This window comes from Homo sapiens, chromosome 5 (genome assembly GCF_000001405.40).
Source record: "Homo sapiens chromosome 5, GRCh38.p14 Primary Assembly".
NCBI lineage: Eukaryota > Metazoa > Chordata > Mammalia > Primates > Hominidae > Homo > Homo sapiens.
In genome coordinates, this window is record NC_000005.10 from 36,042,857 (window position 1) to 36,067,166 (window position 24,310).

The following is a 24,310-nucleotide window of genomic DNA, read 5'->3' on the forward strand; positions in this document are numbered from 1 at the left end:
CACTCAAAACTGGAGCACCCAGACATAGAAAGCAAACATTATTAGAGGTAAAGAGAGAGATAGACCCCAATAAAATAATAGATGGAAAATGCAACACTTTCAGCATTGGACGCATCATCCAGACAGAAAATCAACAAAGAAACATTGAACTTAATCTGCACTACAGATTAAGTGAACCTAATAATATTTGCAGAAATTTTCATCCAATGACTGCAAAAAAGACATTCTTCTACTCAGCACATGGACCATGTTTAAGTATAGACCATACATTAGGCCATAAAACAACTTTTAAGAAATTCAAAAAAATTGAAATTATATCAACTACCTTCTTAGGCCACAATGGAATAAAACTATAAGTCAATAACAAGAGGAACTCTGGATATTATACAAATGCATGGAAAAAAACAATATGCTCCTGAATGACCAGTAGGTCAATGAAGTAATTAAGAAGGAAATTTAAAAATGTATTGAAACAAATGATAATGAAAAGAAAACATACCAAAACCTATGAAATACAGTGAAAACGATACTAAGAGGAATATTTATAGCTATAAGTGCCTACATCAAAAGAGTGAGACTTCATATAAACAACCTACGGATGCATCTTAAAGAATTGGAAAATCAAGAGCAAACCAAACCCAAAAATAGTAGAAGAAAGACATAAAGATCACAGCAGAAATAAATGAAATTTAAAATTTAAAAAAAAGATCAATGAAATGAAAAGTTTGGTTTTGAAAAGATAAGAAAATAGACAACCCTTTAGCCAAACTAAGAAAAGAGAGAAAACCCAAATAAAATCAGAGCTAAAAAAAGAGACATTACAACTGATGCTACAGAAATTCAAAGGATCATTAGAAACATCTGTGAGCAACTATATGCCAATAAATTGGAAAACCTAGAAGAAATGAATACATTCCTAAACACATACAACTTGCCAAGATTAATCCTTAAAGAAATCCTGAACCTGAACAGACCAATAACAAGTAACGAGACTAAAGTTGTAATAAAAAGTCTCCTAGCAAAGAAAAGCCTAGGACCCAATGTCATCAATGCTGAATTTTACCAAACATTTAAAGAACTAATACCAATCCTACTCAAACTATTCTAAAAAACATAGAAGAGAGGGGAATAAAAGGCCTGTATTACCTTTATACCAAAACCAGACAAATACACATCGGAAAAAGGAAACTACAGGCTAATATCTCTGATGAATATTAAGGCAAAAATCCTCAACAAAATACTAGCAAACCAAAATCAACAACACATTAAAAAGATCATTCATCATGAGCAAGTGGGATTTATCTGAGGGACTGAAGGATCGTTCAACATATGCAAATCAATCAATGTGATTCATCATATCAACAGAATGAATGAAAAAAACCATATGATCATGTCAATTGATGCTGAAAAAGCATTCAATAAAATTCAAAGTCCCTTCATGATAAAAACCCTAAAAAAACTGATTATAGAAGAAACATACCTCAACACAATAAAAGCCATATATGACACACCCAAAGTTAGTATCACACTAAATGGGGAAAAACTGAACACCACTCCTCTAACATGACAAGGATGCCCACTTTTACCACAGTTATTCAACATAGTACTGGAAGTTCTAGCTAGAGCAATCAGAAAAGAGAAAGAAATAAAGGGCAGTTAAATTGGAAGGGGAGAAGTTAAATTATGCTAGTTTGCAAATTATATAATCTTATATTTGGAAAAACCTAAAGACTCTACCAAAATAACTATTAGAACTGATCCACAAATTCAGTAAAGTTGCAGGATACAAAATCAATATATATAAATCAGTAGCAATTCTATATGCCAACAGTGAATAATCTGAAAAAGAAATCAAGAAAGTAATTACATTTACAATGCCCACAAACAAAATAAAATACCTAGGAATAAAGTTAAACAAAGAAGTAAAAGATCTCTCCAATAAAAACTATAAAACATTGATGCAATTAATTGAAGAGGACATTTTAAAAACTGGAAAGCTATTCCACGTTCATGCACTGGAAGAATCAATATTGTTAAAATGTCCATACTACCCAAAGCAATCTACAGATTCAATTCAATCTCTATAAAAATACCAATCACATCCTTCACAGAATGAGGAAAAATAATCCTAAAATTTATATGGAACCACAAAAGACCCAGAATAGCCAAAGCCATCCCAAGCAAAAAGAACAAAACTGGAAGAATCACATTACCTGACTTCAAGTTATACTACAAGACTATAGTAACCAAAACTGTATGGTACTGGCATAAAAAACAAGGCACATAGACCAACAGAACAGAATGGACAACCCAGCAATAAATCCATACATCTGCGGTGAACTTATTTTTGACAAGGGTGCCAAGAACATAAAGACAGTCTCTTCAATGAATGGTGCTAAAAAAAAACTAGATATGCATATGCAGAAGAATAAAACTAGACCTCTATATCTCATCATATACAAAAATCAAATCAAAATGGATTAAAAGACTTAAATCTAACACTTTGGGAGGCTGAGGCAGGTGGATCACCTGAGGACAGGAGTTTGAGGCCAGCCTGGCCAACATGGTGAAACCCTGTCTCTACTAAAAATACAAAAAATTAGGCGGGTGCCTGTAATCCCAGCTGCTCGGGAGGCTGAGGCAGGAGAATCGCTTGAATCCAGGAGGTGGAGGTTGCAGTGAGCCAAGATCGCACCACTGCACTCCAGCCTGGGCAACAAGAGCAAAACTCAGTCCTCAGTCTCAAAAAAAAAAAAGAAAAGAAAAAGAAAAGAAAAGAAAAGAAAAAGACTGAAATCTAAGACCTCAAGCTATTAAACTACTAAAAGAAAACATTGGGGAAACGCTCCAGGATGTTGATCTGGACAGATTTCTTTTTCTTGTGTAATGCAGGCAACCAAAGGAAAAATGGACAAATGAGATCACATCAAGTTAGAAGGCTTCTATACAACAAAGGAAACTATCAACAAAGAGAAGAGATAACCCACGGAATGGGAAAAAATATGTGTGTAAATTCTTCTTCTGACAAAGGATTAATAACTAGAATACATAAAAGCTCAAACAACTCTACGAGAAAAAAAAATCTAATAACCTGATTAAAAAATAAAAGATCTGAATGGACATTTTTCAAAAGACATACAAATGGCAAACAGGCATATAAAAGGTTTGCTCAGTGTCACTGATTATCACAGAAATGCAAACCAAACTACAATGAGATATTATCTCACCCCAGTTAAAATGGCTTTCATCCAAAAGACAGGCAATAACAAGGATGTGGAGAAAGCAAACTCGCACATTGTTTGTGGGAATTTAAATCAGTACAACCACTATGGAAAGCAGTTTAGAGGTTCATCGAAAAACTAAAACTAGAACTACCATATGATTCAGCAATCTCACTGCTAAGTATACACCCAAAAGAAAAGAAGTCACTATACTGAAGAGATACCTGCACTTCCGTGTTTATTGCTGCACTATTCGCTGTAGCCAAGATATGGAATCAATCTAAATTTCCAACATCAGATGAATGGATAAGGAAAATATAGTATATGTACACAATGGAGAACTCATCAGCCATAAAAAACAAAGGGATCCTGTCATTTGCAACAATATGGATGAAACTAGAATACATTATGTTAAGTGAACTAAGCCAGACACGGAAAGACAAACTGCATGTTCTCACTCATTTATGGGAGCTAAAAATTAAAACAATTAAACTCATGGAGATAGCAGAACGATTGTTACCAGACGCTGGGATGGGTAGTTAGGGGCTGGGGGAGTGGGTATGGTTAATGGTACGAAAATATAGTTAGAATGTATAAGGTCCAGTGTTTGATAGCACAACAGGGTGACTACAGTCAACAATAATTTGTAGTATATTTTCAAGTAACTAAAAGAATATAATTGGAATGTTTGTAACATAAAGAAATGATCAATGCCTTGATGTGGTGGATTAAAAAAATAATAATAAAGTAGTAATGCTCTGTCCCAAAAGCAGGCCTGGACAGCTTATATCTTAAAGTCCCCCAGGTAGCTCTTAACAAAGTTAGTGTTTTGAAAGGAAAATAAATCTCAGGATCCCCAAATCTAAGCCAAAGAGAAAAGTCAAGCTGGGAACTGCATCAGGCAAAACTTCCTCCCATTCCATTCCTAAACAAGTGTATGTCGGCTCGCTTCCTCTGTCCTATTGTTTCACTAACCCAGACTAAGGCATAAGTGATTATTTCTGTAAATTGTGCACTCAGTGAAAGGCTAGTCAGAGACTCCAAAAAATGCAGTTGTTTGTCTCTTGTCTACCTATGACCTAGAATCCCCTTCTCCGGCCTTTCTGGACCAAACCAATGTTTATCTTACACATATTGATTGGTGTCTCATGTCTCCCTAAAATGTATAAAACCAGCCTGTGCCCCAACCACCTTGGGCACATGTCATCAGGACCTCCTGAAGCTGTCATGGGTGCATCCTCAACCTTGGCAAATAAAGTTTCTAAATTGGTGAGACCAGCGTCATATATTTTGGGCTCACAATATCTAATGTCTTCATTTTGTGTTTGGCACAATTTTGCCAATTCTTACTTCCAAATATTTCTTTGAACTCTGATTCTGATTCTCTCTGCCCTACAGGGGCTCACCCCAGCTCCCAACCCATCATTCTATTACGTGGTTCAGACTCTACTGGATTCCAGCCAGCATACCACTTACCATTCCCAAGGACTTCTTTAAAACAGCCTTGTCATCATTTTTATACTGACAAGGCAACATAAGACCATTATATAAAAATTGGAAAATGCAGAGAAGAAACATAATTTTTTTTAAGTGTATATTGTCTCACAGCCATTACAACCCTTACTCCCATTGTTATCCTCTTAACAATGTCCTCCCCTTACTCCATGGTGGAGGCCTGATCCACCCACCTGATAGCTAAGGTTTCTGGTAAATCCCCACAGCTTTACTCATGCAATTGAACCTTCTACTCCACTAGTGTAGCCAGTGCCACCCAGGGAAGCCAGCCTTATGGCCATCTCAATTACATCTCCACGTATTGGGACCCCTGCTCCCCAACCTGGGGTGCTTTCCCTCTCAGCTCCATTCCTAAAACTTCCTGCCACAAATGCAAAGCCCATATCACCCATAGGTCTTTCCCCAACTCTTCCTGCTCACTCAGTGCAAGTTAAAAGAGTAGACGCTTGGGTGGCTGCAAAGTCCAGGCCCTTAGGACCTCTGAAATACATGGTGGGGGAAGGACACCTACATCACCTGAGCTTCTGTCCTTCTCCATTTATAAAAATGAAGATGATCACACCTCCCTACAGGTGGCAGGATATTAAATATGATAACTTCTGTAAAATGGGAACCCAGTGCTCAGAGGCAACAGGCAGCCAACTCATCTTAGCTCTCCTCCTTTTGAAAAATTTCTATAGCAGAGGTTCTGAGTTGTGAAATTGCGCTGTGCATTCAAATCACCTGAGCAGCATATGCAAATTACAGTGGCAGGGGTCCACCCCAGAGAAATCAAGCCAGAAGATCTAGGTGGAGCCAGGAGCCAGGGCTCTACAGGCAGGGAACCCTGGAGATAACACCGGCAGTTCTTGCTGTCAGACCCAAACAGATCCACCCTGCTTACTCCGAATCCATAGTGTTGTCATTTCATTGTGAGCAGCTTATCTCCTTAACAATTACTGCATGTAATGGGCACTAACTACATGTTTATTGTACATGTGATCACACAAAATAAAAATGCAAACAAAAAATGAAACTTTAATACAGGGCTTATTTTATCAAGGCTAGGACTAGGGTGTGGCAAGAGAGGAGCCAGAAGAATCCATATAAAGATGCCCTTGATCTCAGGATGGTGCAAGGCCTAACATTATACTTGCACAACACTGAAACTCATCACTTCCTTTAAAAGCATGCCCTAGGTGCCTCCCTTGCCTATCCCGACTTTAGCCTCAGGATCCTACTGGCAAGTGGCAGCCACCAACTATGCACTGAAGGCCTCTGCGTGAATCCCAAACTGAATGCTGAGGGTTCACTTACTTGTGGTACTGGTTTAATAGGTTTTTCCATCAAGCCTCCAACATAAACAGTGTTGGGAAGCAGAGGTCGAGCAAAATCAAAGGCAAAGTCAGAGTTAATGAACCACAACTCTGCTTTCAGTAGAAGATGAGACAAAACTGGCCTAGAGCCTTCTGTGAAATGTTCCTTGATGGTGTTGTCAAATGTAGACTGCATGTGCTGTTGCCTCCTGCAGAAACTAAAGAACATCAGAAAATTCTTCACTCGGCCCCAGAAGTCCATGTGATCAGTCAGCAAGGAACGGAATACTGGAACATAAGACAAGGGGATTGGTAGCCCAAATTCCAAAGAGCCGAATGAAGTGGAAAGAATGGCCACAAATGGCTTCCCAAGCTTCTCAGCAATCAGGAAAGGACAGTAGTCAAAAGTTTCAACTATCACCATGTCGAAGTTCTCATTCTTTAAGGAATCCATGATATCCTTTCTATTTAAAAAATGACTGCACTGCAACGCCAAGTATTCTAGAACATTTAATAAGTTTTCAAATTTTCCTCTGTAAGAAAAAAATGATAATAAATATTCATGGGAAGTGTTAAATTTACAGTACATAAAAGTATCTTGAGATACAAAGAAAATATCCCAGGAAAGCAACAACCTTTCTAGCAGTCACCCACAAATTCAACCAGTTTCCCACAAATACCCTCTGCCATAATTATCCTGGCTTAAATGTTTCTACTCCCTAGAGTGTACCCTTCTCCCTTCCCCTTTTCTCTCCTTATCCAAATCCCAACCACCATCAATGCCGACTCAAGGTCTTCTACTCTGGGAGCCATCTCTCAGAGCAGCAGATCTCAGAGTTCTATCTCATTGATAAATTAGGTGACACTCTGTTTAGCCCTCATTTACACATGGAGTTTTTATGAGTGATTTTCTTATTTATCCAACCAAATTGTGTAAGTAACTTGATGATAGAGTTTATCAATATTGATGATATGTGCTACGTTTTAGCACTATGTGTTTGCACATAGTGAGGCAATGAGAGATTGCCTCAGTCAAGGAACTCTTTGATTATATTACAGCCAAAAATCTCAGCCGAAAATGAGAATTCCACCTTTCTACCCCTAGGAGTTAAGCAATGGAAAAAATAAAAGCAAAAGGAACCTGGTTTTTGAAACGCATTATTTTTTTCTTTATTATTATTCCTTTATTATTGACTTTTATTCGTTATTGTTATTTTACATATTTTATATATTATTTATTTACATATTTGTTTACTTATTTATATTATTATTTTTATTTAATTATTTATTATTATTTCTTTCCACCTCAATGCAGGCTGGGGTATTCAGATAAGATAATGTCAAAGCTTTACTGACATATGCCTATGCAAAGGGACGATTCTTTTGCAATGTATTCCCAATAATGCCTGCAGAGAATATGATCCTATTTTACAGAATTTTGGGGAAATAGATGAGGATGCCTAGGCCAGCTGCAGTAAGTGCAAGAGCTCTAGATATCAGAAACATACTGGCTGCAAGGAAGACTGAGATAATCAATTCCCTGACACACCTGTAACCTGTACATTGCCCTCCAGTTAGAGAAGGTCCCTCACTAGTGATATGCAGATTGGCTGAAGTCATCCTCTGTTGTAGATTTTTAAAGATTCACATAACAAAGGAAAAGTTGCCAAACGTTTTTGAAAATTTCAGTAATGGGCTGGGTGCGGTGGCTCACGCCTGTATCCCAGCACTTTGGAGGTCAAGGAGGGTGGATCACCTGAGGTTAGGAGTTTGAGACCAGCCTGGCGAACATGGTGAAATGCCGTCACTACTAATAATACAAAAATTAGCTGGGCATGGTGGCACACTCCTGTAATCCCAGCTACTTGGGAGGCTGAAGCAGGAGAATCGCTTGAACCCTGGAGGCAGAGGTTGCAGTGAGCTGAGATCGCGCCATTGCACTCCAGCCTGGGCAACAAGAGCAAAACTCCGTCTCAAAAAAAAAAAAGCCAGTAATGTAGTAAGAATGTTTAGACTGTAGTTCATTAATCATATTTAAAATTAAGCTAATAAATTAAAGTATTTTAAGAATGCACTCTTAACTATACCTGTCCTTAAAAATATTAAACTGGGTAAGAAAAGACAAGGCATATGCTCAAAATATATAACTAACTCTGCGAGATGATATAGGCTAAGTGTCAAATGGGTGGATTAGATCAGACGTATAGAGGAGAGAACGTGGTGTTCCAGCTTGGGTGAGGAGGGAGGCTTTATGGAAAAAGTCAGATTTGAGCACTACCTTGACTACTGAGTAGAATTTTCCAGGAAAGAAGAGTAGGTAAGGCCACTGCGATTGACCAAGATAGGCATAGATTTCTGTTTCCTCTTTTATGTCTAAGATTAAAAAGTTATGTGTTCCTTCCCATCGAGATTAAGCAAAAGGAGTCAGTTTCATGTTTCATTTTTACCAGGTTGATTGCTTTTTAAAAGAACTTTGCATGGCTATATGTTCAACTTCTACAAACCCAATGTTCATAAGCCTTCCCTTTATTTATGAATATATATAAGAAGAAGGGAAGACAGTAAGTGGGAAAAGGTGACTCTAATTTTCCCACCAACAGTGAAAAGTTGAGGAGCCTATCCCAATTTCTGTGTTGGGGAGATTATAGGCAATTGTTGTAGGTGAAGTGTTGCAAGGAAGTCCCAGAAGAAACAATTTCCCACTTTCTGCAGAAAAGCACTCATGCTCATAGTGTGTAAGAAAGACGGTATAAGGAAGAATTTCCAGGGACTTTACTGGATGATGTGGCATGCAGTACTCATCTACTCCCCCTGTCATCTGTCTCTCCATCTATCAATCCATCCATCCGTCCATCCATCCATCCATCCATCCATCCATTCGTCACTTTCTCTTATCCTCATTCCAAGTATCCATGCATCCATCCATCCATTTGTATTATGAAAATGGTGACCTTTTTGTTCAAAGAATAAAAAAACAATTACCTGCCACCTAAAGTTTCTTCCAGAAAGAAATCAAAACTCTTTTTAAATTCTCTTTGATGATCTTCAGGTGCAAGCCAACTGATAACTTGATATGATTTTTCTTCCTTTTTAAAATCTAAGAAAACAGCAACGGGTTAAAAAAAAAGTTAAATATGCTACACAAAAGAGTAACATTAGCATAACAATATCAAAACTTATTTCAAAGATTATGTATGTATTTGAATGATTGCTTCAAGTATTTTTTAATGTATGCGTTTATTTATTTTTGAGACAGAGTCTTGCTCTGTCATTTAGGCTGGAGTGCAATAGCACAATCCTAGCTCATTGCAGTCTCAGCTCCCTTAAAAACCACTGGGATTACAGGTGTGAGACATTGGTATAGTTTGTGTTTAAATACAGTACACATTTGTTTGATTCCAGAGCCTCTGTTCTTTCTGTTTTACAAAAACAATCATTTTTATTATTTAAAGTGATACATGCAAATAATTTTTAAATTCAGTCAAAAAGTACTAAAAGACTTCATTAATAGAGTAGTCCCCTACATCTCAACTTGCCTGCTTGGCCCCTTCTTCATTATCCATGTGTAATAAGAAGTCTGACTCCATTTTCACTCTTTGCCTCTTGACAAATGTCAAGCCCCATTTCCCCTTCCCAACCCCATGCTTCATCTGAGTAAATTGGTAAGAAAACTCACACACACCTTCTCTCTTATCCCTGGTAGGAGTTTCAATCCATGCAAGTCAGGACAATGAAAGGAAATCCTCAGCCCATCCTACCCCTCCTCACAGTAAAAACTCAAGCCAGTCATCCCTCCCTGCTCTCTAAAGCCATTTTTCAGATTTGCCTGGGAGCCTGTCCTGCTATTCTGAAAAAAAGAAAAAAAAATACCTCACCCTATGAGTCATAAACCTCTCATATCTTCTTAATGCATGTGTGCCTTCATCACATCCAAATCAAATTTTGTGTAAGGATTGGGGGTATGTTAACAGATAGCCCCACATATTAAGGCCCTCATACTCAAGCTAATTGAAATGAAAGACTCTATCCAAGTATCTACTGGCAAATACTTTGCAGTCATAGAGTTGGCTAGAATGTTTTTTTCCATGCTGATTTTAACAGGCTCTCAGCCACAGTGTGTCTTTACCTTGGAAGAAACACAATGCATGGCTACTCATAGTATACTTCAACAGCCCTACTATTGCCCACAATCTTTGCCAGCAAGAGCCACTGCTTCCAGCTTTCTCCAGGAGTACAGATATAACATTACATTGAGGGTGTCCTCCTCTGAGGAGATTCATTTGCCACACTCATTTAAGACATAGAAACATTCAAAAAGGAGCTCACAAAGGGGATAAGCCATTGTCCCATGCAAAGTATCAGACCCAGTCCCTCACTTAAATTCCAAAGGATCATTTGGTTAGTTGAAGACCTCTCCATCCCCAATACTATTAAGAAACAATTATTGAGCATCTCTGTGCCCATAATGTTACAAGCCCAACATCTTTTAGGCCTTTTTTACACTTTAAAGACAACATATTCCTTATTTATAAATTTTACTTAGGTCCACTCATGTTTATTACTTGAAAATCAGCCCACATTGCATAGGAACCCCTGTAACAGAAGGCTCTAGAATCTGTCCAAGTTGCAATACAACAGGCTCTCTCATTAGTGCCCGCCAGGGACACCTGCACTGTAAAGGCTTTAGCATCCTCCTTTCATGCCTCCTGGAGTTCTTCTGAGCACCTATCATGGCTGTTTCAGTTTCCTATTGCTGCTTTAACAAATTACAACAAACTTAGTTGCTTAACACAACACAAGGTATTGTCTTATAGTTCTGGAGATCAGAAGTCCAAAATGGGTCTCATTAGAATAAAATCAAGGTGTGGGTAGAGCTGCATTTCTTCTGGAGGCTCTGGGGAACGATCCATTTTCTTGCCTTTTCCAGCTTCTCAAGGCTACCTGCATCCCTGGCTCATGGCCCCCTTCCAACAGGCAATCACATCACTCTGATTTCTTCTTCCATCATCACTTCTTTAACTCTCCTACCATCTTCTTTCCTTTATAACAGGGGTGTCCAATCTATTGGCTTCCCTGGGCCACATTGGAAGAAGAAGAATTGTCTTGGGCCACACATAAAATACAGTAACACTAATGATAGCTAATGAGCTAAAAAGAAATTGCAAAAACAATCTCATAATGTTTTAAGAAAGTTTATGAATTTGTGTTGGGCCACATTCAAAGCTGTCCTGGGCCACATGCAGCTGGTGGGCCACGAGTTAGACAAGCTTGCCTTATAAGAACTCTTGCATTTAAACTGGATTCACCTGGGTAATCCATGATAGTCTCCCTGTCTCAAAATCCTTATATTAATCACATCTGCAAAGATCCTTTTGCCTTTCGAACATGTAAAATAGCACATTCATAATTATAGGAATTCAGACATGTATATCTTTGGGAGGGAGCATTATTTGCCTACCACAGAGTGTTCTCTAGATCCCAGACATTCATATACACCCCTCTTGGAATGAAAATGTATTCATCTTGTCCCAACATCCCCCAAAGTCCCAAACAATTATATTATCAATTCAAAGTGAAAAATCTCATCTAAAGCTCATCAGCTCGGAATTCCCAAATCACATCATCCAAATAATCTACATCAAGTGTGGGTGAGAGTCTGGGTGTAATCCATTCAGTGGCAAAATTGCTCTCCTTCTGTGGATCTATGAAACTAGGAAAAAATGACCTGCTCCCCAAAACCAATAGTGGGACAGGCATAGGATACCAATTATAGACATTATTCTAATGGGGGCAAAAAGAAAGTAAAAAAAAAAATGAGGTGCCAGTCCCAAGACATTTTGACTCCAACTGGGCAAACAAAATTAGGTTTTAAGGACTGGAAATAATCCTGTGGTTTGGCTCAGCCTTCTGGGCTAGAAGCTCTGCCATCTGGGCTCATTGCTTCACCTTCAGAGTTTTCCTTCGTTTTTCATGAATCGTTGCATGTGGTTACAGCTGAGTGGTTTGTCAGTTTATTTCCTACTTGCAGAATCTGGGGAGTTCAACAGCCCTCCTTCCTGTCATATTCTCCTCCCTGTCATATTCTCCTCATACCTTTTAGTCCAAATTGGCAGTACTTCTGAAGGTATAAAATTCTTGGGTACCGGGAGGCTGAGGCAGGAGAATCGCTTAAACCTGGGAGGAGGAGGTTGCAGTGAGCTGAGATCACACCATGGCACTCCAGCCTGCATGACAAGAGCAAGACTTCATCTCAAAAAAAAAAATTTGGGGGGGTACCTTGTGACCCTCGTGGGTATGTCATAGTAATTCATTCCACTAAACAAGAGGCTGCTCTGCAGTTTGTTTTTTTTTTTCTTTTTTTAGACAGAGTCTCGTTCTGTCACCCACCCAGGCTGGAGTGCATGGCACAATCTTGGCTCACTGCAACCTCTGCCTCCCAGGTTCAAACGATTCATGTGCCTCGGTCCTCTGAGTAGCTGGGATTACAGGCACGAGCCACCATGCCTGGCTAATTTTTGTATTTTAGTAGAGACAGGGTTGCACCATGTTGGCCAGGCTGGTCTGAAACACCTGACCTCAGGTGATCCGCCTGCATCAGCCTCCCAAAGTGCTGGGATTACAGGTGTGAGCCACTGTGCCCGGCCTAGGATCCACTGACTTTTAGAAGAGCAAGACCACCAGCTAGTGTCTAGATGTTCACCTCATCATCCTTTTAATATGTTGCCTCTGTAATGTGGACCATTAAAATCTTTTATCTGGCTGGCTGCCTTATAGTAATATCCCCTCAATTATTTTACTCATTTACTTCTTTTCTTTTATCCCCAACTCCATGTGCCTCCTCTCTACCTTGCTGATCTAAGTAGCAATAATATTTTACTTCTATTCCTTTTCCTTTTCATTTCAACCTGTTTATTTTGAACAAGAATAAATATCCTTTCAGGGACATGTTCTCATTCCTTTTCACCAGGTCTGTGAGATAGTGATGATCCTCTGTTTATGTTTATTTGCGGAAATAGATATTTTATTTTATGTGTAGACTAGTCATTATCTTGTCCTATCCATCTTTTCCATGTTTTCCTTTGTTTGTTTCATTTCCTTTTCCTTTGTTTCATTTCCTAGGATTACAGGCATGAGCCACCGCGCCCAGCCTCCACACATCTTTACGAGATAGTTTCATCTTGATTGGTGGCTTCTGCCATTATGGTTGAAGGAATCCATGAGACATACATCTAATTGCAGGACAGTTCTCAGGGTGGCCTTGGGCTGACCCTGTTTTCCTCTCTGCTTGTCACTTGTAGTTATCAAGAATAACTGCAGAAAGTGCTGGAAATGTAACACTCTGAGATAGAGAGGTACTGGGTGGAATAGCCCAGGCTTTGTTACAGTCTCCACTAGAAACAGGATGTCCTTCAACACTTAGCTTAGTACGTCATGTTTCTCCAGGGTATAAAACCCAAGGTGGTCTGCACTTCGTGGTCCTTTATCTGCAGGGCAAGTGGGGCATGTACAGTTGAGACTCCATTCATCCCGGGCAGCTTTCTGAACCTTGGAGGACCAGCTCACAATGAATTTTAGGTTTTGGTTGCTGCGCACGTGCAAGTAATAAATCCACTTCATGGAATTTGTTGCGTTATGTGGGTGTTCTTTCTTAGCAGACTCAGGCAAGTTGGTAACCAGTGCACACCAAACCTGCTTCATGCTAATCTCTTCAGTGAGCTTTCTGTGTGACTGAATACTCTGACCGTTTAATCCTGCAGAGGCAATAGCAAAAGGCTGTCCAGCCATACAATTGGCTTTCTCTACAAGACAACAGGATACACTGCTTTCCTGACATTGAATTCCCCAATTTTAAAATATTTTATCATCCTAATAGGCTGAGAATTTCCAAAACCATAAAGTCCTCGTTTTCTGCCTCATAGTTATTTTCTCAATTTATCTTTCCTCTCACATTTTACTATAGACAGTAAGAACACTTGAACATCTATATTTCTACAAAAAGCCTGTGTATGATGATTTATAGTCTCTAAGACAATACAGATTTTCTCTATCATGTTCTTTCCTTCCTTCTGAGTCATCACTAGCAGAGTTCTTAGAATCTCCAGTTCTACTCACAGTCTGTTCAAAGCAATTTAGGCTTTCTCTCTCATGCTCGTGAATATCTCTTGAATATTCTTCTAGCCAATATGTATAATCCAATTGTGATTCCAGATATTGATTGGTTGGAGCAGTAGTACATGTCAGTATTAGAAACCTTTGCTTCTTCAGTGCCTCTGATGTCATTTATTAAAGTTGCAAATAAATAAACAGTATGGGAAAGTGTTTCCAAATAAGGAGTTAATAATTGGCTCAAATGTTTCAATTCATTAAATTGGGCATCTGATCAGAAATAATAACCCAATCATGTGTTTCCTTGTTTGCAGACCTTCAGCCAAGCTCTACGGATGAAATGAAAAATGGGAATTCTATTTCAAAGTTTCAGAGACATCCATGATGAGGGAATTATTAAAAGAAACTCTAGACTCCTAATCCTATGAAAAAACAGAAAGGATCCACACATTCCTTGAATTGTTTATAGATTTTGCTCTGCTTGTATTTGTTAAAGAGTAAAAGGTCTGTAGCTTTCAGTAGTTTCTCTCTCTCTCTCTCTCTCTTTTTTTTTTTTTTCTCAGACTGGGTCTCACTTTATTGGCCAGGCTGGAACGCAGTGGTATGATAATGGCTCACTGCAGCTTCAGCCTCCAGGGCTCACACAATCCTCCTGCCTCAGCTTCCCACGTAGCTGGGACCACAGGAGCATGACACCATGCCCAGCTAATGTTTTATTTTTATTTTTAGTAGAGATGAAGTCTCACTATGTTGCCCAGGCTGGTTTTAACTCCTGGGCTCAAGTGATCCTCCTGCCTCAGCCTCCCAAAGTGCTGGGATTACAAATGTGAGCCACTATACCCAGCCAGTAGTTTCTCAAAGTTTATTGGAAATGTCATCATTAATTTTTCACCTACATTTTAATTTAAATCAATTTAATTTAGTTACAATTTTTGAAATTAAGAAATAATTGTCTTAAAAATGAATATACTACAACTATTTAATCAGATATCCAGTTTAGGCAGATACGAAGGCAGTGAAGAATATGAAAACTAATGTAAAAGATATTAAAATGGTTTTAAGCAGGGACTCAAAAAGACATTTGTATACCAGTGTTCATAGCAGCATTGTTCACAATAGTCAAAAAGTGGAAAAAATTAAATGTCCATCAATGGATTAATGGATAAACAAAATGTGATGTATCCATAAAATTGAATATCCAGCCATAAAAAAGTTCTAACACATGCTAAATATGAATGAACCTTGAAGATATTATGCTAAATAAAGCAAGCCAGACACAAAAGGACAAATATTGTATCATTTCACTTATACGCTGTACCCAGAATAGTGAATTAACAGAGAAATAGAATATGGTTATCAGGGGCTGAAGGTGGAGGGTAATGGGGCGTTGTTGGAGGCCAAAAGAGTGAGGGTCGTGATCAACTCAGGATAGCACTGGAGACTATATGAGTAAACAGCAAACTTTTTCTCATAAATGCAGAATGTTAGCAAACTGACAAACTGCGTCTGCCACCCAGAAGGCATGCTGAAGGCAGTCACGCCCCAAGTGCAGTGCTTCTTGTGATTAGGCAAATCTGAAGCCTGTTAGTAATAATATGAACCTGTGATCAATCAAGCAGCTGACCAATCGTTACCTCCTCCTCCCTGCTCATTCTACCCAATAAATAAGAAGGGTTGTGGAAGCTCAGCAGCTGCCTTTGCTCACTAGAAACGGGGAGCTCTTTTCTTCTTCCCCTGGCCCCCTTCTTTATAACAGTTTCTTTTGTCTTAGGTTTTCATTTCTGTGTTTGTCCTCCTTCATTCAGTCTCGTAATGACGGTCTCAAGTAGTAAGAGTAATGTCTCTCATAATGACAGTAACAAGTAGTAATTGTGGCAGTCTACCACAAGTGGTGCCTGAACAGGGATAAATAGGGACATTCAGGGACAAACAGAGACCTGAAGAGACCTGCAGGGACCTGAAGAGGCCTGCAGGGACAAACAGAGATAAGCAGGGATAAATAGAAATAAATAGAGATAGAAACAAATAGAAATAGGGAAAGACAGGGACTTGCAGAAACTAACAGGGACCACAGGGACAAATAGGGATAGATAAAGACTAGCAGAGACTAGCAGAAACTTGCAGGCACTGATAGGGACACATAGCATCCTACAGGGACTTGAGTGAGGAAGGTCTGGGAGCAGAAAAAACTAAAGCCCAGAAAAAATTAAAACCAACCAGATGAACGAGAAACCCCATTACAAGTCTGCTGGCAGCAACATAAGGTCAGTGTTCTAAAACATGTACTGTTTAGTGCCCTAGAGGTCCAAAGAATGAGAAGTTTTTGAATCAAAATAACATGGGGAAGAATTTGGTTATTTCTTTTCTCTTTTTTTTTTTTTTTTTTTGGAGTTTGGTACATATCATCTTTTTGTTATTTCAGGGTTTGAGAGAATTTTTTGCCCCACCTATAACACCTATTGAGGGTGGTGAGCAGGAGAGGGAGGATGAAAATTGGCTTGTACCGTCTTCTGCGGCTACAGAAAGGCTAACTTTAGCTTTGGCTTTCGTGGATTGTAAACATTTGCTGGCACCTGTGAGATGTGCAGAGGACTTGGGAGGTTTTCTCAGAGCTTGTCAAGATGTGGGAACTGAGCACAAGGATAAGCCTCAGATTTGCTTTCTCTGTGTCTTCTGTTAATCAGAAAGAGCCTGTTTCTTGTTATCAGTGGAATGTTTTACCCCGCAGCAATTAACCAAAAGAGGCAGAAGCTGAATTGTAGCTTGTGGAGCAGATGCTTCAGCAACAGCATGCCTCCTGGCTACAGCTACAAAAACCTTTGCTTTTGTTTTGGTAGATTTACTAAGGTGGGGACCAGGGTATGTTTGTGTTTTCACAGAAAATGAACAAACCGTGTGGGTGCTCTCAAGGTGTGTGCGACCATGGAACAGGAGACTGGAGGGACTCATGGATTCCAATCACAGGCCTGGTTCCCCCAGTACAAGCCATGAGCCAGTTGAATCTGAATGTGAAGATGGAATGAGGACCAACTGGAGTCACACTCACATCAACCCCCATGACATGCAGACAGATCAAGAAAACCACACAGGAAGCTGAGAAACTGTTAGAGCATCAGGGTCAGGCAAAGACCCCTGACTCCATGTTTGTGGCCATGCTGGCCATGGTTTCCTGTGCATCTGTAAGATAAGCTGGACCACCAACCAGCAATTGAGGGCTGCACAGCCAGTAATTGCCTTTCTCAAATTAATTCAAAAACAAAAAGGGAGAAATGTTGGAGGCCAAAAGAGTGAGGGTTGTGATCAACTCAGTATACCACTGGAGGCTATATGAGTAAACAGCAGACTGTTTCTCATAAAATGCAGAATGTTGGCAAACTGACAAACTGCGTCTGCCACCCAGAAGGAATGCTGAGGGCAGTCACGCCCCAAGTGCAATATTTCTTACGATTAGGCAAATCTGAAGCCTGTTAGTAATAATATGAACCTGTGATCAATCAAGCAGCTGACCAATCGTTACCTCCTCCTCCCTGCTCATTCTACCCAATAAAAAGGGTTGTGGAAGCTCAGCGGCTGCCTTTGCTCACTAGAAGCGGGGAGCTCTTTTCTTCTTCCCCTGGCCCCTTTACAACCGTTTCTTTTAAGTTTTCATTTTTACGTTCGTCATCCTTCGTTCAGTCTCGTAATGATGGTCTCAAGTAGTAACAGTAATAACTGTCCTAGTGATGGTTTCAAGAAGTAATAGTGGCTGTCAGCCACAGGGAGTCACTGTTTAATAAGTAGAGTTCCACTTCACGATGATGAAAAACTTCTGAAAATTTCAGAGATGGTCCTACAACAATGTGAATGTCCTTAAAGCCTCTAAACGGTACATTGGAAATGGGGCCAGGTGCGGTGGCTCACACCTGTAATCCCAGCACTTTGGAAGGCCAAGGCAGGCAGATCACCTGAGATTAGGAGTTCAAGACCGGCCTGGCGAACATGGCAAAACCCTGTCTCTACTAAAAATACAAAAAAATTAGCCAGGCGTGGTGCCCCACGCCTAATAGCACGCACCTGTAGTCCCAGTTATTTGGTAGGCTAAGGTACCAGAATCGCTTGAACCTAGGTAACGGAGGTTGCAGTGAGCCAAGATCACACCACTGCACTCCAACCTGGGAGACAGAGGAAGACTCTGACTCAATTAAAAAACATGGCTAAAATGGTAGATTATGTTATATATATTTTACCACAATGAAATTTTAAATTTTATTATTATTATTATTATACTTTAAGTTTTAGGGTACATGTGCACATTGTGCAGGTTAGTTACATACGTACACATGTGCCATGCTGGTGCACTGCACCCAGTAACTCGTCATCTAGCATTAGGTATATCTCCCAATGCTATCCCTCCCCCCTCCCCCCACCCCACAACAGTCCCCAGAGTGTGATGTTCCCCTTCCTGTGTCCATGTGATCTCATTGTTCAATTCCCACCTATAAGTGAGAATATGCGGTGTTTGGTTTTTTGTTCTTGTGATAGTTTACTGAGGATGATGATTTCCAATTTCATCCATGTCCCTACAAAGGACATGAACTCATCATTTTTTATGGCTGCATAGTATTCCATGGTGTATATGTGCCACATTTTCTTAATCCAGTCTATCATTGTTGGACATTTGGGTTGGTTCCAAGTCTTTGCTATTGTGAATAATGCTGCAATAAACATACATGTGCATGTGTCTTTATAGCAGCATGATTTATAGTCCTTTGGGTATACACCCAGTAATGGGATGGCTGGGTCAAATGGTATTTCTAGTTCTAGATCCCTGATGAATCGCCACACTGACTTCCACAGTGGTTGAACTAGTTTACAGTCCCACCAACAGTGTAAAAGTGTTCCTATTTCTCCACATCCTCTCCAGCACCTGTTGTTTCCTGACTTTTTAATGATTGCCATTCTAACTGGTGTGAGATTGGTATCTCATTGTGGTTTTGATTTGCATTTCTCTGATGGCCAGTGACGATGAGCATTTTTTCATGTGTTTTTTGGCTGCATAAATGTCTTCTTTTGAGAAGTGTCTGTTCATGTCCTTCACCCACTTTTTGATGGGGTTGTTTGTTTTTTTCTTGTAAATTTGTTTGAGTTCACTGTAGATTCTGGATATTAGCCCTTTGTCAGATGAGTAGGTTGCGAAAATTTTCTCCCATTTTGTAGGTTGCCTGTTCACTCTGATGGTAGTTTCTTTTGCTGTGCAGAAGCTCTTTAGTTTAATTAGATCCCATTTGTCAATTTTGGCTTTTGTTGCCATTGCTTTTGGTGTTTTAGACATGAAGTCCTTGCCCATGCCTATGTCCTGAATGGTAATGCCTAGGTTTTCTTCTAGGGTTTTAATGGTTTTAAGTCTAACGTTTAAGTCTTTAATCCATCTTGAATTGATTTTTGTATAAGGTGTAAGGAAGGGATCCAGTTTCAGCTTTCTACGTATGGCTAGCCAGTTTTCCCAGCACCATTTATTAAATAGGGAATCCTTTCCCCATTGCTTGTTTTTCTCAGGTTTGTCAAAGATCAGATAGTTGTAGATATGCGGCGTTATTTCTGAGGGCTCTGTTCTGTTCCATTGATCTATATCTCTGTTTTGGTACCAGTACCATGCTGTTTTGTTTACTGTAGTCTTGTAGTATAGTTTGAAGTCAGGTAGTGTGATGCCTCCAGCTTTGTTCTTTTGGCTTAGGATTGACTTGGCAAAATTTAAATGAGAAAATGTAGATTAAAAAATGGTTTTGGCTGGATGCAGTGGTTCACACCTGTAATCCCAGCACTTTGGGAGGCCAAGGCAGGAGGATTACCTGAGGTCAGGAGTTCGAGACTAGCCTGGCCAACATGGTGAAACCCCATCTCTACTAAAAATACAAAAAATTAGCCGAGCATGGTGGTACACACCTGTAATGTCAGCTACTCAGGAGGCTGAGGCAGGAGAATTGCTTGAGCCCAGGAGATGGAAGTTGCAGTGAGCCAAGATCATGCCACTGTACTCCAGCCTGGCCAACAGAGCGAGACTCTGTCTCAAAAAAAAAAAAATGGTTTTAGAAATCTGAACAATGACAAGGCCTGATATTATCTTCAAAGGTTGAAAATATCTCAGAATTTTCTCCCTCCAAGATGCTTGCTTTTGGATTTTTTTTCTTTTTTAAAATTATAGCTTCAGGGGGTGCATGTCCAGGTGTATTGCATGATGATGGAGTTTGGGCTTTTCCCTGAGCAACACTTTCATATTGAGCAATTTGGAGCATAAAGTCCTAAATCCACCCAACTCTGTTATCAAGCAAATCTGTTAAGTTCTCAGGGTTTCTGTTTCCTTGTGGATCAACAGAAGTGTTGATAAGATTTATGAGCTTCATTTTGGCTAAAATTCTTTGGACTCAATGACTCCATTAAGAACATCTGAAATCACTATGCACAAACTCGTGGGCAGCCACTTATTTTTCAAGAATGCAAGACCATCTCAGCCATAGACTCCTAACTTAGCTGCATAAATAAGGGTCTCCCTGCAAAAGCTTACTTAAATTCCGATATCATAAAAAGAGGAAAAGTAATCTATAAAAAGAACAGTGATTCTTACATGTAAGAAGTGTTAAATAAGGCTGAATATTTCTGTTCTATCTATATACAGAGAGTCTTTGAGGTGGAGTCTCACTCTGTTGCCCAGGCTCTAGTGCAGTGGTGCATTCCCAGCTCACTGCAACTTCTGCCTCCTGGCTCAAGCGATCCTCCACCCTCAGCCTCCCAAGTAGCTGAAACTACAAGTGGGTGCCACCATGTCAAGCTAATTTTTGTATTTTTTGTAGAGACAGAGTGTCCCTATGTTGCTCAGGCTGGTCTCAAACTCCTGGGTTCAAGTGATCCACCTGTCTCAGCCTCCTAAAGTGCTGGGATTACAGGTGTGAGCCACCTTGCCCCACCATGTTTAATATATTTTTTAAGCCATCTTATAAAGTAGTATTTGTTAAAATAATCCATAATAATGAGTGGATGGTTGCTTGGGATGGAGTAGAAGTCAAGTAAGGGGAAAAAAAAATATGGGAGTATGGAACGTCAGGTCCCGGTAATTAGAGACTAAGAAGTTTTTTGGCACTTTACATACACACACACACAAGCTTTTCATCCTTCCAATTGAATTAGATTTTTAAAAAACATTTTGCTAAGCCTTTCTATGCAAACAGCATTTTGCTCTTTGCTTGGAGTAGGAGAAATCAAGAAAAGTGAGAAAAGATACCTGGCATAAAAGGACCTCTTTTGTGGTTAAGCATGGTGACATTATGACCGTGATCTTGAAGAATCTGAGAAACCCGGTCCATCAGTAGATAATGGCTTCCACCTAGGAACAATGCACAACTTCAGTTCTGGAATGATGAGAATACAGTGTCTGAAGTCAGTAGTGATCAATCCAGGAGAGGAAAGGTAAGGAAACAGAAGTGGATAGTGATTGGAGGAAGATGAGTTTTGCCAGTCTCCTCATGTCCCTCTGGGTAAAACCCAGCCCACTCACCCAGAGCATGGCCGCCCAAATTTTTACCTGTGGCTCTGGTCCGTGAGAGATTGCCTCTTGTGAATCACGGTATCCATGTCAGTGTAATGAGCTACTATGTGCTTAGCCATGGGAGTTCCTCATCCTGAGGTACATGTATATTTTAACTAAGGCCTTATGGAGACACAGAGTCCAAAAGAAATCACGGCACTGGTGGAAATACAGGTATGGTGTTGTACATATGAGTGTGAATAGTTCCTAAAAAACAATGAGAGCTGTTTCTGGGATCCTGCTCTTTGGACATTTCTGCTGCTGTAGGAGATAGAAACCTTAAGAGATTGGTCCAAGAAATCATCACTGGAACAGAAGGAATGAGGGGCCACTACTTAGAATCCAAATCCTTAAGATTCCAATGTATTTTGAAAGGATGTACTTAATTTAGGCCACACAATGATCAAGTTCTAATTAAGACATTTGAGGACAACTGTGGGGCGCTTGGGGTGGGCCTGCTGGATCCTGGTTGCACGAGAGACTAGGGAATCATTGATTCCAGAAACATCCATCCTAAGGAAAGAGAAGCTTGATCCTCAAAAGAGGTACAAGTTCCACGAAATCAATGTCTTCTCAGTACATGTTCTAATACACAGCCTTTGCTTGAATCTAAGGTTCTCAGCAGCAGAGAAAGGAAGATCAGAAGAGAAGGTAATGTAATAGTAAATACCAAAAGCCTGCGGGGTGGGGGTGGAAGGGAGTAGAGAAGTAGTGTTCAGCTCTCTGAATGACTCAGTTTACTTATACCCAGGCTTGAATAGTCTGGAGCAACAAGGGACGTATAAAGTACAAATCTGCAACAGGTCTTGCTCACATTTTAATCCACGTAAGAACAGGGAGCTGGGAAGAAGGGGTCCCCACAGAAACAGCTGTTAGCGGTGGATCTTGGGGAGTCAGGTGGCTTTCTGGGGCAAAAATCAGCATTCTAGCACCTCAGAAATGACATCAACTCCTTCTTGGAGCCTGAGGAAGGAGGGCTGTGTACTTTCAAGAAGTTAAGAAGCTCTGTTGCTTCACTGCTACTAACACTCAGAAAGAGGGGGAAAAAGTCTTCAAATGGACTTGCACTGTTTCTTAAACAGTGATTTTTGAAAATCCCCAGTGAAAAGGGCTTCAGAGTGGAAGTTGTGGTGAGCATGGTCTTGCAGTAAGAAAACCCTGAGTTAATTCCTCATGGGACATCAGGGAGGCCACAAGTGCTCTTAAGGAAGGCATCTCACTCCCCATCCTTCAATTGCCCTCTCAGGAAATGAAAATGGGCACTAAATTAGATGATCTGTGGTTCTTCCCAGCCCTACGAGCCCTAATTCTCCATGATCTAAAAGGAATCCATTAGAACCCACTATGGGTTGAAATAAAGTCTTGGGGAAGCTCGATCCTGAGATGATCCCTTTATGTTCATATATGTTTCTCTTTTATCTTCTATTCCCTTTGGGGTAAAAGTAAAAGAAGTAAAACTGAGACCCAAAATGCAGAATTAACAGTCCCATGAATCCCTCAAATAACGGTCAGCGGCACAGGTAAAAGGAAAGATACTCCAAAAGATGCGAATGACCTGGATCTTCTCCTCAGCCCTCGGCAGTTCTCCAGGTTTCCCCTGGTGGAAAACACTCCACTGGCATTGCAGCCATGAAATACCTGCCTGCGCCACCCTGGCTCCGGATGCAGCTTCACAACATTTGCAGTGCTGCCCTCAGGAGGGCCTTTCCCTGGTCTCCAAGAGCCTGAAAACGCTCACCACTGTTTCTACTGGAAGCTACTGTGCACCCACACACACGCACCCTCCGGAGCTTAAGGTGAGCCTCTGAAAGTCCCACTGCGCCCTGGAGAAGGCAGCCCAGGAACTCAAGCTCTGGGATGAGTCTCAAATTTCTGGCCCCAGCCCTGCGGGATGGGGGCGCGTCCTGAACAGGAAGAAGACAGTAAAGGAGAATCTCTTTTCTCCAAAACTTTCTTCCCCACCTCAGCAATAGAGGCCCCTCTCTGCCCCACAGCTGAATGGGCTTCTCCCTCCTCCAGCCGGGTCCGCAAGCCCAGCCTGGAAAATCACGTGGATGACTCTGATCAAGCGCTGTTCTCTGGAGCCCTGGCAGTGCGAGTATCCGGGACGCGCCTGTCTGGGAATTCTCCGGCCAAGCACTCACCTACTGTAGATATTGTCAGGATTTTGGCAGCCTCTGAGAGCAGGACCCCAGGGAGAAGGAAGCCCACTAGAAGAAGCACTCGCTGCCCAGCCATGCTCACTTCTACGGAAGCCGCGGATCTCAGCCTGGGCTGCGCGCCCTGCGCCCGGCTAAGGGACCCTGTGCACCTCAGTGCGCCAAAGGCACTGGCTGTGGGTAGAGGTAGGAGTAAGGATCCTGCCAGTCTTCTCTTCTGTCCATCCCCTCTTGCCCTCTGCCCCTCCTCCCTCGTGCTCCATTGGATAATCTATCCTCGCTCTACCAAACTACCAGCAGTCAGTAGGAGGGGTCGGTGAGCCCATACTTAACCCTGCTCTGCCCTTGTGATCACAGCCCTCCTGCCTGGAAAATCCTTACTGTGAGTGAGGAATGGCAGGGACCTCAGTAAATCGAGCTGATGAAAGCTCTATCTCCATGGGACCCACCTCTCTT

General features: G+C 40.7%; 1 protein-coding gene across 4 annotated transcripts in view, besides 1 other annotated feature; it reads right to left on the bottom strand.

Annotated features, from left to right (window-relative positions):
• UGT3A2 (UDP glycosyltransferase family 3 member A2) overlaps positions 1-24,026 on the bottom strand; it is a 31,862-nt gene extending 7,836 nt beyond the window's left edge. Inside the window, exons 1-5 of one of the 4 annotated variants that reach the window (XM_011513988.2) lie at positions 23,840-24,026; positions 21,393-21,494; positions 12,125-12,205; positions 9,014-9,128; positions 6,033-6,564 (exon numbers count right to left, since the gene is read on the bottom strand). In XM_011513988.2, coding sequence (XP_011512290.1) covers positions 6,033-6,564; positions 9,014-9,128; positions 12,125-12,205; positions 21,393-21,494; positions 23,840-23,933 — 924 coding nt within the window. In that variant the 5' untranslated portion in view covers positions 23,934-24,026. The remainder of the gene's footprint in view (positions 1-6,032; positions 6,565-9,013; positions 9,129-12,124; positions 12,206-21,392; positions 21,495-23,839) is intronic. The other 3 variants (NM_174914.4, NR_031764.2, NM_001168316.2) reach the window with 3 other exon arrangements.
• Positions 17,089-17,589: an enhancer, noted in NCBI's record as "H3K4me1 hESC enhancer chr5:36060047-36060547 (GRCh37/hg19 assembly coordinates)". NCBI's record gives its function as "activates a minimal SCP1, AML or CMV promoter by ChIP-STARR-seq in primed H9 embryonic stem cells {active_cell/tissue: H9 hESC(primed)}" and the evidence as "EXISTENCE:reporter gene assay evidence [ECO:0000049][PMID:30033119]".
• Positions 24,027-24,310: the final 284 nt, after the last annotated feature.